At 43.7% G+C, this 14,805-nt stretch overlaps 1 protein-coding gene across 2 annotated transcripts in view, besides 3 other annotated features; it reads left to right on the top strand.

The window, feature by feature from the left end:
- The window catches only part of PRKDC (protein kinase, DNA-activated, catalytic subunit), a 187,026-nt gene that overhangs the window by 124,349 nt on the left and 47,872 nt on the right, over positions 1 to 14,805 (top strand). For both annotated transcript variants that reach the window (NM_001081640.2, NM_006904.7), the window contains exons 59-65: positions 1,392 to 1,592; positions 3,862 to 3,974; positions 5,052 to 5,183; positions 7,441 to 7,620; positions 8,927 to 9,132; positions 11,792 to 11,930; positions 13,996 to 14,184. In NM_001081640.2, coding sequence (NP_001075109.1) covers positions 1,392 to 1,592; positions 3,862 to 3,974; positions 5,052 to 5,183; positions 7,441 to 7,620; positions 8,927 to 9,132; positions 11,792 to 11,930; positions 13,996 to 14,184 — 1,160 coding nt within the window. The remainder of the gene's footprint in view (positions 1 to 1,391; positions 1,593 to 3,861; positions 3,975 to 5,051; positions 5,184 to 7,440; positions 7,621 to 8,926; positions 9,133 to 11,791; positions 11,931 to 13,995; positions 14,185 to 14,805) is intronic.
- Positions 8,926 to 9,220: an enhancer, noted in NCBI's record as "tiled region #7649; K562 Activating DNase unmatched - State 14:Gen5'". NCBI's record gives its function as "activates a minimal TATA promoter and a strong SV40 promoter by Sharpr-MPRA in K562 cells {active_cell/tissue: K562}" and the evidence as "EXISTENCE:reporter gene assay evidence [ECO:0000049][PMID:27701403]".
- Positions 10,006 to 10,506: an enhancer, noted in NCBI's record as "H3K4me1 hESC enhancer chr8:48737843-48738343 (GRCh37/hg19 assembly coordinates)". NCBI's record gives its function as "activates a minimal SCP1, AML or CMV promoter by ChIP-STARR-seq in naive H9 embryonic stem cells {active_cell/tissue: H9 hESC(naive)}" and the evidence as "EXISTENCE:reporter gene assay evidence [ECO:0000049][PMID:30033119]".
- Positions 13,101 to 13,862: an enhancer, noted in NCBI's record as "H3K27ac-H3K4me1 hESC enhancer chr8:48734487-48735248 (GRCh37/hg19 assembly coordinates)". NCBI's record gives its function as "activates a minimal SCP1, AML or CMV promoter by ChIP-STARR-seq in primed H9 embryonic stem cells {active_cell/tissue: H9 hESC(primed)}" and the evidence as "EXISTENCE:reporter gene assay evidence [ECO:0000049][PMID:30033119]".

The raw sequence follows: 14,805 nt of genomic DNA, 5'->3' as shown, positions 1-14,805 counted from the left end.
CTGTCTCAAAAAAAAAAACCAAAAAGCAACTCTGGACATGGAAGATGTTGATGGTTGTACAGCAGCGTAAATGTCCTTAATGCCATTGAACTGTGCACCTAAGAATGATTGAAATGGTAAATTTTATGTATATTTTCCTTTTTTTTTTTTTTTTTTTTTTTTTTTTTGAGACAGAGTCCTGCTCTGTCACCAGGCTGGAGCTGGAGTGAGTGGCACGATCTTGGCTCACTGCAACCTCTGCCTCCTGGGTTCAAGCGATTCCTCTGCCTCAGCCTCCTGAGTAGCTGGAACTACAGGCGCGCACCACCTCGCCTGGCTAAATTTTTGTATTTTAGTAGAGATGGGATTTCACCACATTGGCCAGATGGTCTAGATATCCTGACCTTGTGAGCCACCACGCCCAGCCTGTTTTGCTACAATTTTTCTAAAAAAGAAATGGATTATTTCTGACCAGAAAGATCAGGGAAAGTTTCAGTATATGTATGTTTTGGTTTTGGTTTGGTACAGAAAAACATAGTGTAGCAAATTTAAGACATCTTATCACCAAAGCAGAGTAGAGGTAAACCAAATTCATTTACTAGATTTATAGTTATTAAACTGTTCTTTCTCAGATGGTTTAACTGCTTCCTTTGATGAGCAAAGTACAAATTGTAGAGTAACATATCTTAATCCTTTTATATAAACTCTTTAACGTTTCTCCTTTGTGTAATTTTTTTGCACATTTTGTTGGTTCTGGAAGTGGGACTAATATGAATAATCACAATTGAAATTCTGTGACACTAATATTAGAAGTCAGGGGGCCGGGCGCTGTGGCTCACGCCTGTAATCCCAGCACTTTGGGCGGCCGAGGCGGGCGGATCACGAGGTCAGGAGATCGAGACCATCCTGGCTAACACGGTGAAACCCCGTCTCTACTAAAAATACAAAAAATTAGCCGGGCGTGGTAGCGGGCGCCTGTAGTCCCAGCTACTCGGGAGGCTGAGGCAGGAGAATGGCGTGAACCCGGGAGGCGGAGCTTGCAGTGAGCCGAGATCGCGCCACTGCACTCCAGCCTGGGCCACAGAGCGAGACTCCGTCTCAAAAAAAAAAAAAAAAAAAAAAGTCAGGGGTTCTTAGCACCTTTCAGTAGATAACAAAGTGTTATTCCTGTGGTGGGAGCAAGTGGCGTGTTTCTTACTTTACAAATGGGGACACTGCGGTCCAGGGGCACTGAGGCGCACGTACCTGGTTTTCCTTGGGGCATACCCTGGGACCTGACAGAGCCTCTGCCCAGGGTTGGAGTTGAGCACGGAGGCCTAGGGTGCCACCAGGTGTGTCCTGGCAGGTGGTCCTGCCCCGTGCACAGAGCTGGGTGATGCTGAGTGCCTGACCTCTCTGATTGCATGTCACAGATGGAAGAAGCTCATTTGATTGGCTGACCGGGAGCAGCACTGACCCGCTGGTCGACCACACCAGTCCCTCATCTGACTCCTTGCTGTTTGCCCACAAGAGGAGTGAAAGGTTACAGAGAGCACCCTTGAAGTCAGTGGGGCCTGATTTTGGGAAAAAAAGGCTGGGCCTTCCAGGGGACGAGGTGGATAACAAAGTGAAAGGTAAGCTGGGTTGCTGAGTGTGCTTAAAATAGCTTCCCCACTAAATTACTGCAGAGCTCAGGTCTGGGGACATTTCTGACTGTATCCATGTTTCCTTCTCATTCGTAATCAAGCCCTTTAAAATTCAGTTAATGTTGCCTAGGCACTCACCATGCTGAAGAAATTGTTTTCTGGGAGTTCCAGAAGAATCCTTCAGTAAGTTATACTCGATCCATTGTTGAGTGATCTTCTGGAGCAGTAAGAGTGGGTGAGGCATTTATAAAGGGGTGATTGTAACAAGAGGTGGAATTAGCAAGCATGGTCTAGGGCTAGAGGGCTTAATACAGGTGGAGAATGAGGAGAGCGTCCAAAAAGACTGGGTGGAGGAAGAGCATTTGAGAGGAGCCTTGGAGCTGGGGGTGCAGGAAGGGAAAGGATGAAAAGGACAGGGATGGAGAAGTGTCAGGGTGGGTAGGCTCAGATCGATTCTGCAGTCCAGGTGAAGGGACGCTTCGGGGCATGCTAGAGTAACGGCAAAGGGTGCTGTGAGGACAGTCTTGTGGGTGTGGGGGTGTATGTCGAACTTCAGCTTTAGGAAGCAGCCTTGTAACGCACCGAGCAGAGGAAGGCACGGGGACTGAATGCCCTTCTCTGAGGTTTGTGTGGGGCAGAAGTGGAGTGATGGGGACTGGAGGCAGGCACCAGGACCTGGTCTTGGCTAACAGATGACCAGAACTAGACGGGTGCCGAGAGGCTGGAAGCAGCTTTTTGTGAGAAAGAAGTGAGGCTCTGGGAGGGAACAAGGGCCCAGAGGAAGGACATGTGCAGAGAGGAAAGGGCCCATGACAGAACCCTGGGGGAGCGCCAGCAGGGAAGCTCAGCTCTGTGGAAGTAAACTTAGAAGAACTTAGAAGCAAAGCTCCCTGCCTTCTTATCTAATCGTAGGAACTGAAACACAGGCAACAAAACTTGCTTTACTCCACCACTCTCTCATACTTTTCAGTCACAAACCTGTGGCCCACACACAGTTCTCTAAATGGAACCTGGAGAGGTCAGTGTGGCCCACCTTTTGGCATGTGCTGTGAGTTGAAGGAGTGCTGGTGGCGGTTGTTCAGGTGGAGCCACCTGGGTGCTGAGAATGGGGTCAGCAGCAGGGAGCTTTCTCTGGGATCTGATGGCTTGGTGGTCTGGCGGGAGTGCTGCTGTGGAGCTCCATACGTGGGGCCCCTGGACTCCCTGCTTTGCAGGGCTGCGGGCGCCAGGCCTGGTGCCATCCTCCTTGGGGATGCTTTGTGAGAACGTGGGTCTTTTCTCTGTGGATGCTCTCGGGATCTTCTCTTTTAAACCAGTGTTCTGACATTGCGCACAAGTGTCCTTGGGCGTAGATCCGTTTCAGTCTGTTTTTCTGGGCATATGGCGGGAGCTTCCAGGCCGCTGACTCTCACCTTCCAGTTCTGGAGCATCATCACAGGTGATTTTGTTGAGTTCTTCATCTCAGTTTGCTGTTTTCTCTTTTTGGAGTCCTAGTGCTTAGATATCTCACCTGCGTGAGTGTCCTTCTGAGGTGTCATATTTTTTCCTTTTCCTCTTTTCTGGGAAATCCCTTCAACCTTATCTTTCAACCTGTGCTTTTAAGTTATGACACGTTTCAGTTTCCATGAGCTTTTTTTCATGCTCTGAACATTTCTTCAGTTCCTACTCTTCTCTTTCTGATAAATGATCATGTTTTGAAATTTTTTCCTGCATGATCTGCTTTTAACAGTTGCTCTTTCCTTGTTGCTTACTTTGGCTTGTGTTGTTCATATTTGAAACTTTCCTTAGAACCTGTCGTGATTTGGAGGTTAAGGCTGGTGTCTCCTGGTGGGGTACTAAACAGGCATTTGGAATCATACGGGTTAGGAGTGTTGCGGTCACCTGTCCCTGGTCAGGTTGCCACAGTCCCGAGGGAGGCTGGTCTGCACCAGGTGTTGAAGCCTCCGAGGCAGCTCCTCTCTAGTTCAGTTAGCCAGAGGCAAAGCACTGCCAGGCGAGTTGGGCGGGGGTTCAGAAGGTGGCTGCGTGCCCTCCCTGGGCCTCCCTCTGGAGGGGCCTGGCCCGTTCAGCGCTCATGCCTGCTGAATCCACTGCTGAGCAGTTCCAGTTGCAGCTGTGGCCCCTGCACTCCTGCTCCCGGTCGCTGCCTCTGCGGCACCTGTAGGTTTTGTCTTTGAGGAAACCCGAGGTGAAAATGAACCAGCAGAGCCAAGTGTCTGGGCGGCGGGGAGTAACTGGGCCTGCTTTCCCTCTCCAGGTGCGGCCGGCCGGACGGACCTACTACGACTGCGCAGACGGTTTATGAGGGACCAGGAGAAGCTCAGTTTGATGTATGCCAGAAAAGGCGTTGCTGAGCAAAAACGAGAGAAGGTTTGTATCTTGTCAAGAATTTGATCAGAACGATGCAGTTTCTGTCACAGGATACAGACGAAGTGAACAGGCTTCCTGCCAGACACTGCCTCCAATGTCACCTGCAAACCAGGTTGCGGGACTGCTCCAAACCAGCCTCCTGGGGCTCCCCCACAGGGATGCAGCCCTCATGGCGCTCTGGTGGGGGTCCAGGAGTGCGCCCAGTTCTCTCCGCGGGTGGAAGTGTGGCCGGCCTGGGATCAGCCGGCTGATCCCAGGCCTACCTCAAGGCCCGCGCCCTGGCAGGACTTCACTGGCCCTCGCTTCAGGGACCAATGCGGCGGGAGGGCAGCTGGGGGCTGGGACCCACGGTGCCCCGAGGACAGGTGGCCAGGAGGGCCTTCCCGTGGCGTGGAGACTCCGTAGCCGCGGCGTCCATTCCGCCTAGAAATGGGTCATTAGGATGCATTTGTAAGAAGGGGGTAGGACGGATCGTTAAGAAAAATCCCTCGCGGTGCTCCAGTTCAGCGCCAGCCGCCGCCGCCACAGGAGCGGCTCCATCCACATCTGGGTGTGAAGCCCTGGAAGTGGGGCGCTGTGCCGGCCCCCTCCCCAAGCCCTGCCGCCCAGCCATGCTTGTGGAGCCTGAGGCCTCCCGGGCTGCGCCCCCGGGGCACTGTTTTGCCCCCTCGGAGGGGAGCTTTGGGCTCTGCAGCTGCCTGGGAGCAGAGGCAGCCGGAGGGCAGGACCTTGGGGCGGAAGTGGGGACCGGCTGCCGGCCTCGTTCTCAGTGAGACTTTCCAGAGATGCAGCTCTCCAGCCGGTTTTTAAATACTTCTAAATCAAATTTTCCGATTTTATAAATATTCTGATTATAGGGAATGTTTAAAGCCTTTCCACTGCTTGTTGTGTAGTGATTTTATTTTGGATGCAGTGTTTGCCCTAGACGGTAAAGTACGGCGACTGAGCCTCTGCGAGCATCAGTTCCCACCACTTCGCCCTCATGGTTCAGGGGATCCTGGCAGCCTCATAGCTCATGCACGACTAGTTTCCTTCAATGAGAATGCTCATCTTCTTCTTTGGTTCTGGTGCTTATAGGAAATCAAGAGTGAGTTAAAAATGAAGCAGGATGCCCAGGTCGTTCTGTACAGAAGCTACCGGCACGGAGACCTTCCTGACATTCAGATCAAGCACAGCAGCCTCATCACCCCGTTACAGGCCGTGGCCCAGGTCAGTTTTTGCCGCTGCGTTTTCTGTTGACAGGTTAAAATCTGTTTCCAGTTCAGGGGTTTGCCTATGTGAGGAAACATGGCTGAGGCTGTCCTGCAACATAGATGAGGTGTTGGTTTGTCCTCAACGGTGGACTTGGTATAAAGACCTTGCTCCAAGTCCTGGCTCTGCCATTTCCTAGTTCCATGACTTCTTTACACATGCGGAGACTCTGAGATCATCAGTGCTGAAGACGTTATTTATCGTTATTTATCAGGATTACCACTGCATTTGTCTGAACAAAGGGAGCATAAATGAAGGAATTTGTACCTAGCACTCAGGAATCAGTGGATTGTAGACATGGAAACCTGTCTACCACGTGTTACATAAAAACAGCAGGTTACCAAACAGGTGTAAAAGTGTACACACCAGTAAAAGACACATGCCAGTGACTTATCTCTTTATGGTATAATTATGGGCGATACTTATTTTCTTTTTTCCTAAACCACATTTTCTGGGTGCTCTATTCTGTTCCATTGGTCTGTGTGTCTGTTTTTGTACCAGTACCATGCTTTTTGGTTACTGCAGCCTTATAGTATTGTTTGAAGTTGGGTAGTGCGGTGCTTCTAGTTTTGTTCTTTTTGCTTAGGATTGCTTTGGCTATACGGGCTCTTTTTTGGTTCCATATGAATTTTAGAATAGTTTTTTCTAGTTCTGTGATAAATGATGTTGGTAGTTTGATAGAATTAGCATTGATTCTGTAGATTGCCTTGAGCAGAATGGCCATTTTAACGATATTGATGCTTCTAATCCGTGAATATGGAATGTGTTTCCCTTTATTTGTGTCATTCTTTTATGATTTCTTTCGGCAGTGTTTTTTAGTTCTCCTTGTAAAGATCTTTCACCTTCTTGGTTAAGTGTATTCCTAGGTATTTTATTCTTTCTGTGGCTGTTGTAAACGGGATTGTGCTTTTGATTTAGCCATATTTTCTAAAATTTTATATAGTAATCACTAGAACTTCTTATAACAAGATAAATATATTACTTAAAATAAACAATAAGGAATAAATCAAATTTGTATGTTTTAGTCATACATAGCTTTTATCAAAGTAATTTTTTGCATTTGATGATTAGATTTATTTTTTAAATATTAAGTATAATCTTAAATCAGTAGAATTTCACAGTAAACTTTTCAAGTATTTAATTTTTGGCTATAGTAACTTAAGTGTAAACCATTGCTTTTAATGTTCTTTTCAACAATATGCAAAAATCACACTTGATTTAAGAACATTCATTTAATAATGTAATTTGTTCATAAAACATCAAAAATGGATTATCATTATATTGTAAACATAATTAAAATAGGTCTTAGACATGAAAAAAGAACATGATCCCAAAAAGCAGCACAAGTCTCACCTCCTTCAGAGGCAAACGTGTAGCAAAATTAACAAAAAGATATTAACAGAATTGACCTGTCAATTATAATATGATAGAAAACTTATTAACAGGGAAGATCCCTAGAAGATTACACAAAGTAATTTTTAAACTTTATTTATCATGCTTTCATGCCTCCATTTAGCAAAAATAGACACTATATGCCAGGAACTGTTGTTGGCGCTGATGTCACAGCATGAATAAATAAAGGGAGTATACTGTGGCCATGAAGTGTGCGAGGGTTAGGGCTGTAAATGATTAGGTAGTGTGCTATTTGCGGGAGCTGATGCTCAGAAGAAGCCTTTGATGGTTTCAATAGTTTAAAGTGGTCAGGTGGTGGGACCTTGAAAATTAACACTGGCATTTTATTTAAGCTCATCAGTTATTTTAAGCTTTACCATGGTGCTGATAGGAGAAAAATACCTAAACATTTAATCTTTCTCTGAGATTTTATGAAGTGCTGCACTAAGCACTGGCTGCACTTTATCTGGGCTAATCTTCCCCGCAGCCCAATGTGATGTGTTCTGGTAGCCCCCATTTAAAGATTGGAGACCCAGACTTAACTCAGGAGAGAAGCTATGTCATTATGTATTGATTAAGCCAGCTTTTAAATGTATCTCTCTGGGCCAAAAGTCCATGTTTCCATAACATACATCAAACAGATACATTTGGTTAAATTCCAAATGCTCCCCTTGTCAATGCCTGCTAAGTCTTTCCAAATAGAATTGAGAGGTATAATAGATGTGTTTGCAACAGTTTGTATTTTCCAAGCTCTGATAGTATTGGTGATTTATAGCATTTTTGCTTCAGATCCTAATTTGTCTTTGTTTTGAATTTTTTACAGAGGGACCCAATAATTGCAAAACAGCTCTTTAGCAGCTTGTTTTCTGGAATTTTGAAAGAGATGGATAAATTTAAGACACTGTCTGAAAAAAACAACATCACTCAAAAGTTGCTTCAAGACTTCAATCGTTTTCTTAATACCACCTTCTCTTTCTTTCCACCCTTTGTCTCTTGTATTCAGGTAAAGTCTGCACACACTTCATCAAATATACATTGTTTGCTGTGGCTTCACATGGCCTTTCCATCATCACTATGTTTCCCGTGTTGAGACTCTTGATAACCTGGTGTTTAACAGAGTAAGATGTACTATTTGGGTTACCACTTCCCAAATGAGTAGATGTAATTTATTTTTTCCCCCCAGAAAAACCGATATGTGACAGAATAACCAGAAATCAAACATGTTACGTTTTATTTTGTAATAAGCCAGTCCCTTCAGTGTTTTTGATGAAACCCTTCATTTATTTAGTTGTCTTTCCTTATGTAGTATTTCACCAAATTCTTTCTGCTTCCTGACTACTGTCAAAAGATGTTGACTGAGTACCCGCCTGGCTTTATTCTAGGTGGCTGGGCCACATTGATGAAGAGGCAAAAATTCCTTTCCTCCCGACCTTACATTCCCATTAATAGATGGGTAATAGGCAACCCACAGGGAGATGTAGAAAGGGACATTAGGTAGTAGTTAAGTGTCATAGTACTTGAGTAATAGGGAAGTGTTAAAGCAGTGTAAGATAGTAATGAAGCAGGTAAGCAGGTGCCTCTTGATGGGGTAGGGTGTGTTTGCCTAGATGCAGTGGTCAGAGAAGTCCTTTCCAAGGCAACACAGCCTGAGCAGAAAATCTAATTTAATATTCAGTTACTACTTAAATATGTTTGTCAGAAGATTATTTTTCATGTAAGAAATGTTTTCTGTGCCATTCAAAGTATGGATTATATAAAATTCCCTAGTAGAAAATCTTTTTGATTCATTTTAGTATTTTTGTATCTAGTGACCTTTTCTGAAGTAATTACTAATTTATATTCTTCAATATTGTTTATCGGTAGTATTGGTTTACAAACGAATTGGTTAATACTTTTCTGAAATGAAATACTTAGTTTTTTGTTTTATTCTTTTTGATGGAACGAGAAACTGTCAGTATAAATTTCTTTATACATTAGCTCCGTTTTTTATTGGTTTCTAATTTACGTGTGTGTGTGTGTGTGTGTGTGTGTGTGTGTGTGTGTGTGTGTGTGATCTTCATATTTTGATAGGTGCTTTTCTTGCTTTAAATTGATCCCTGGAATGGAAGCGTAAAATTAAAAGGTCATTTCCTCCTTTGAGCAAATTGAATATTGTTGGAAAATGTGTTAATAGCATTACACAGAGAAACTTCTGGTGATATCACTACCCACATGGGTACCTTTTATGTTTAGTAAAGTATGTTACTCCTTGTGAAGACATGGTCCAAGTACCACAAGCTAAACAGCTGGTTGTATGTGTGGTTTCACAGGACATTAGCTGTCAGCACGCAGCCCTGCTGAGCCTCGACCCAGCGGCTGTTAGCGCTGGTTGCCTGGCCAGCCTACAGCAGCCCGTGGGCATCCGCCTGCTAGAGGAGGCTCTGCTCCGCCTGCTGCCTGCTGAGCTGCCTGCCAAGCGAGTCCGTGGGAAGGCCCGCCTCCCTCCTGATGTCCTCAGATGGGTGGAGCTTGCTAAGTAAGTGTGAGGTCAGGTGCTCTTGGGAGCACACTGGATTTGACCAAAGCAATACGGAAAACACTTGGCTTCATTTGGCAGAAAATGAGCTAATAAAGTTGATAGTAACACTAATGTGAAATTTAAAAGAAAAGTCTTTCAGGCTGAGTACCATTCTCAAAGGCAAGAACAGTTGCCACAACAAGTAATGTCTTGCTCAAGGAAAGAGAACGTTATTTAAACCTGCTGATTTCTTTCAGTATATGATTTTTTGGACTCAGTATTATTCACCAAGTTTAGTTTCTTGTAAAGTGTAGCTGTGAATCATAGTTCCTAATATTTTATGTTATTTCCTGCTTCACTACACTGAATGGAGGAAGATTTAGTATTTTCAGCAGGACTCAAGATTTTAGAAAGAGTTTAAATCAGTTAGTTTATTTGGGATAAACAGATTCCATTTTCTAGTTATACCATTTTCCATTATGTCTGATTCTTCCCTTCTCTGTGATCTCATCATATGAAAGCCTAATTCTGAGGAGGTTGTTAGGTTAAGATTGAAATTTAACTTGAACTTCATTTTGTAGTGCAGATTTTTAGAGCTTTAGGTTTTAAGAGAAAAGATAGTAAAAGTAAGGGAGGGGATCCTTGTGCTTCGTGCTGTTTTGTAGTTAATTCATGTCTGTCCTGATTGAGCACTGAGTGTACAAGTGCTGTGCCAGGCACCAAAGAGACATGAAATTGGATTAGACATTGATCACAGACTCACAAAACTAGCAATCTAGTAGGAAATGTATGTACTTTACACATAAATAAATCATAATTGAAGTAGGAGGTGGTGAGCACTGAGAGAGACAAGATAAAATGCCAGGGCCATTCAGAGAGGGCCTCTGAGCTATGCTGATTTTACCTAGGAACCGTTTTCTCCTGTTGCTTCAGATGTGTAAGTGAACAGGAAGTGACACCTTGTATGTTTACTATTTCCAGGAGTGGTAAACATACATAATGTGTATTTGCTAAGTAAGTGAAGCAAACAACTTTTAAGGGCCTAAACTTTAAACATTTTTTTCTAACTGTATTAAGTACATTCTCATACTTTTGTGATATTTTTGCATTCCTTGCAGAGCATTGTGAACATAGTTTAGCTTTTTTTTTTTTTTTTTTTTTTTTTTTTTGAGACAGTCTTGCTCTGTCGCCAGTTGGAGTGCAGTGGCACAATCTTGGCTCACTGCAACCTCCACCTCCCGGGTTCAAGCGATTCTCCTGCCTCAGCCTCCCAAGTAGCTGGGATTACAGGCACCTGCCACCACGCCCAGCTAATTTTTGTATTTTTAGTAGAGATGGGGTTTCACCGTGTTAGCCAGGATCCGCCCGCCCCGGCCTCCCAAAGTGCTGGGATTGCAGCCATGAGCCACCACACCCGGCCTTAGCCTTTTTTTTGATATGTCATGGCCATTGTTCTAACCATGTTATAGTGAACATAATCCAGGGACAATGGAACCAGTATAGGGGTATGTAGGTGATCTCTTTCCTGAGTCTATGCAGAATGTAGCTCTCCCTCTTCCCTGACTCTGGGGCCATGAGCTGCTGCTCCATCACCTACCTACCCACCCACCTTTACTGCTGATTTATTACCCCTAACATTCTGTAATCAGGGCAATAAGAGAGCTGCATCTACTAGATTTTATTGAATTCAGAATTCATAAGCTCTAGGAGAGAACCTGTAGGGCTCTTTTGATGTAAATGCAAGAGGCTTAGTACCCAGAAGGGAACTGAACAGCAGGAGAACTAAGGAGGGAGCAGTCCTTGGCTGGCTGGTTTAGGAAGAAATAACATTTGGGTTGAGACTGCAAGATGGAAAGAAATTTCCTGGAGGAAGGGAACAAACCCCATAAACACTTTGAGAATATCATGGACTGGGAAGCTTGATTGAAAGGGTCAAGCCAGAATTTTGTTAAGGTAAAGAGATGAATGAATGCTCCAACAAATTGAGATGGTCCATAGAACATGGATTAAACATGGCATCAGTAGTCAGGATTATTTTTTCTTTTGCTTCTGGGTTTTTTGGAGCTAGACAAGGATTCCAAATGGTTCGCCTGTAGATATTATAATGGATTAATACTGGAGAACCTTATGTAATGACACATCTTATACACTGTGAACCTTTGATATTTTCAGATTCCACCTTTTTTTTTTTTTTTTTTTTTTTTTGAGGCGGAGTCTTGCTGTTGCCCAGGCTGGAGTGCAGTAGGGTGATTGGTTCACTGCAACCTCCACCTCCTGGGTTCAAGCAGTTCTCTGCCTCAGCCTCCCAAGTAGCTGGGACTACAGGCATGCGCCACCATGCCCAGCTAATTTTTTGTATTTTTAGTAGAGACGGGGTTTCACCATGTTGGCCAGGCTGATCTGAACTCCTGACCTCAGGTGAGCCGCCACGCCCGTCCCAGATTCCACTTTAAATGCACATCTGAATAATTTCTGGCTTATGTATGATTAAAGTTATAAAACCTAAGGGCAACTTCATAGTTTCTTAAATTTTATATTTTTAGCAAAATTAAAGTAACACTTTATGTCTCTTGTTAATATAATGTGTGGCAACTTGATTTACTATCATTTCATTAGAATAAATACTTTTAAAATACTGGAGTGTTCATTGATTTGGCCTTTTTGATTTGTTTTGTAGGCTGTATAGATCAATTGGAGAATACGACGTCCTCCGTGGGATTTTTACCAGTGAGATAGGAACAAAGCAAATCACTCAGAGTGCATTATTAGCAGAAGCCAGAAGTGATTATTCTGAAGCTGCTAAGCAGTATGATGAGGTAAAATTGATCTCTGGCAAAATATGACATTTACTTCAACACTTTTGTTTTCTGCTGAACTATGACTTTAAGCAAAACGAGGTACAGCAGATCCTTGTTGGTTCAATGTCTTTTCGTTACAATGTTGATGAGGAAGAAAATTGGTTTCCTTATAGGTTGTTCACTTAAGTTAGGGCCTACCATACTATGAAACTGTATATTATTTCTCTGCTCTTACACAGTTTCTGTTTGAATAGGTTGTTTTCTTTCAGTTAGTTAAAAAAAAAAATTATAAAGAAATTGTATTAGGCTGTTCTTGCATTTCTGTAGAGAAATACCTGACACTGGGCAATTTATAAAGAAAAGAGGTTTAATTGGTTCACGGTTCCACGGGCTGCACAGGAAGTATGGTGCTGCCTTCTGCTTGGCTTCAGGGGAGGCCTTGGGAAGCTTTTATGCATTGGTAGAAGGCGAAGCAGGAGTAGGCATTTCACATGGTGAAAGGCAGTAGCAAAAGAGAGACAGTTGGGGAGGGGGTGCCATATACTTTTATTTATTTAGAGGCAGAGTCTCATTCTGTCACCCAGGCTGGAGTGCAGTGGCACTATCATGGCTCCCAGGCTCCGGCGGTCCTCCCACCTCAGCCACCTGAGTAGCTGGGACTTCAGGCATGCACCAACATGCCTGGCTAATTTTTGAAATTTTTTTGTAGAGATGAGGTGTCACTATGTTGCCCAGGCTGGTTGGGAACTCCTGAGCTCAAGCCATCATGCCTGGGCCTCCCAAAGTGCTAGGATCACTCATCACCAAGGGAATGGCCCACTTCATTCATGAGGGATCTGCCCCCCATTGATCCAAACACCTCTCACCAGGCCCCACCTCTGACATTGAGGATTACATTTCAACATGAGGTTTAGGTGGGGACACATATTCAAATTACATCAGAGGTAAAGAAGAATTTGGGAAGATGAATATAAGTTCAGTTTTGTACATTCCGTCAGTGGCTATTCAAGTGTAGGTGTTGAAATTCAGGGTCTGTGACCTGTGAGACTCTTCAATGAGCAGTCCAGGTTTTGTTTGTTTGTTTGTTTTTGAGAGTCTCACTCTGTCGCCCACGCTGGAGTGCAGTGGCGCAATCTGGGCTCACTGCAAGCTCTGCCTTCCGGGTTCACGCCATTCTCCTGCCTCAGCCTCCCGAGTAGCTGGGACTACAGGTGCCCGCCACCACGCCCGGCTAATTTTTTGTATTTTTAGTAGAGATGGGGTTTCACCGTGTTAGCCAGGATGGTCTCGATCTCCTGACCTTGTGATCCGCCCGCCTCGGCCTCCCAAAGTGCTGGGATTACAGGCTTGAGCCACCGCTCCCAGCCGAGCAGCCCAGGTTTTAAAATCCTCTGCAATTTTCTACAAATGTCCTGTATTCTAATTTTATTCTAAGAACTTGTTACGTGGTAAATAACCCCCAGTAGAGATGTAAATCAAGTTATTGTGATTGAAAGTCTTCAGTCTTAGTAATTGGTTTCATTGGTAAGTTTCTCAGAGAAATGGCTTCCTCCTAGTTAGGATTTTTGTGGCTTTTTTTTTTTTTTCTCTCTTAAAACAGGGTCACCCAGGCTGCAGTGCAGTGACACAATCTCAGCTTACTGCAGCCTCAACCTCCTGGGCCCAAGTGATCTTCTCACCTCAGCCTCCCAAGTAGCTGGGACTGCAGGTGCTTGCCATCGTACCTAGCTAGTTTTTGTGTTTTTTGTAGAGAGTTTTTGCGTTTTTTGTAGGCCATGTTGCCTAGGCTAGTCTCAAACTCCTGGGCTCAGGTGATCCATGTGCGTTAGCCTCCCACAGTGGTGGGATCACAGGCGTGAGCCAGCGTGCCCAGCTGGGTTTTTCTATTCATTTAGTACTGTAGGATTCCTTTTGGTTTTTCTTCCATTCAGTGTTACTCTGAATAGCTTCTCTTTTCTCTCTCCTTTCCGTAAATCTGAAAAGGATTGTTTTTAGTGTGATTGTTACATTCCTCCTTTTTACGTGTTCTCATTGGTATTCTTTCCAACTTTGTAAAATAATTTTATTAACTTTTCTCCACTAGGCTCTCAATAAACAAGACTGGGTAGATGGTGAGCCCACAGAAGCCGAGAAGGATTTTTGGGAACTTGCATCCCTTGACTGTTACAACCACCTTGCTGAGTGGAAATCACTTGAATACTGTTCTACAGCCAGTATAGACAGTGAGAACCCCCCAGACCTAAATAAAATCTGGAGTGAACCATTTTATCAGGTGGGTAAAATTATTTTAAGTGATTGAAATAATTATTTTAGATAGGTGTTTTCTACTTAACAAAATTGTTTAAAACATTTCAAAAACAGGTAGTACTTGTGAAGCACTAGGGAATTGCATGACCTGAGTCCACCTACAAACCCCATAGTATTGTTAAATCTCTTATCACTTTTAGCTAATCATCTTTTCAAAGTGAATGCAATGCATTTTAAAATAAATATTAACATTCCTAGTATGACTACATAGGAGCATATTTCCTGTTGTCTCTTATATTACAAGAAGTCGCCCCGGATCACTGGCTAAACACAGGCCTCCCAGCTCCTGTGACAAGAGGCTCTCCGCTTTTCTCCACACCATACCTATCCTGACTGTGCTTGTAAATTCCTCAGTTTGTACGTAACATCCAAATCATCTTCCAGCCAAAAGTAGTTCCCATTTTTTGTAGAACGTGTTCCTATATATTTTGTGGTTACAAAACAAGCTATTTTAGATGAATTTGTTTTAAAAATTGGAGGTTTACTGTTTCAGACATCAAACATCATCGCTTTGACTTTAAATCTTGACCTGTGAAAGTATAGCAAAGAATATAATAGAAATAAAATAATTAGACATACTCAAATT

Source organism: Homo sapiens, chromosome 8, assembly GCF_000001405.40.
Source record: "Homo sapiens chromosome 8, GRCh38.p14 Primary Assembly".
Classification (NCBI taxonomy): domain Eukaryota; kingdom Metazoa; phylum Chordata; class Mammalia; order Primates; family Hominidae; genus Homo; species Homo sapiens.
The sequence above is the reverse complement of the archived record's forward strand: the minus strand, read 5'-3'. Positions and strand labels throughout refer to the sequence as shown.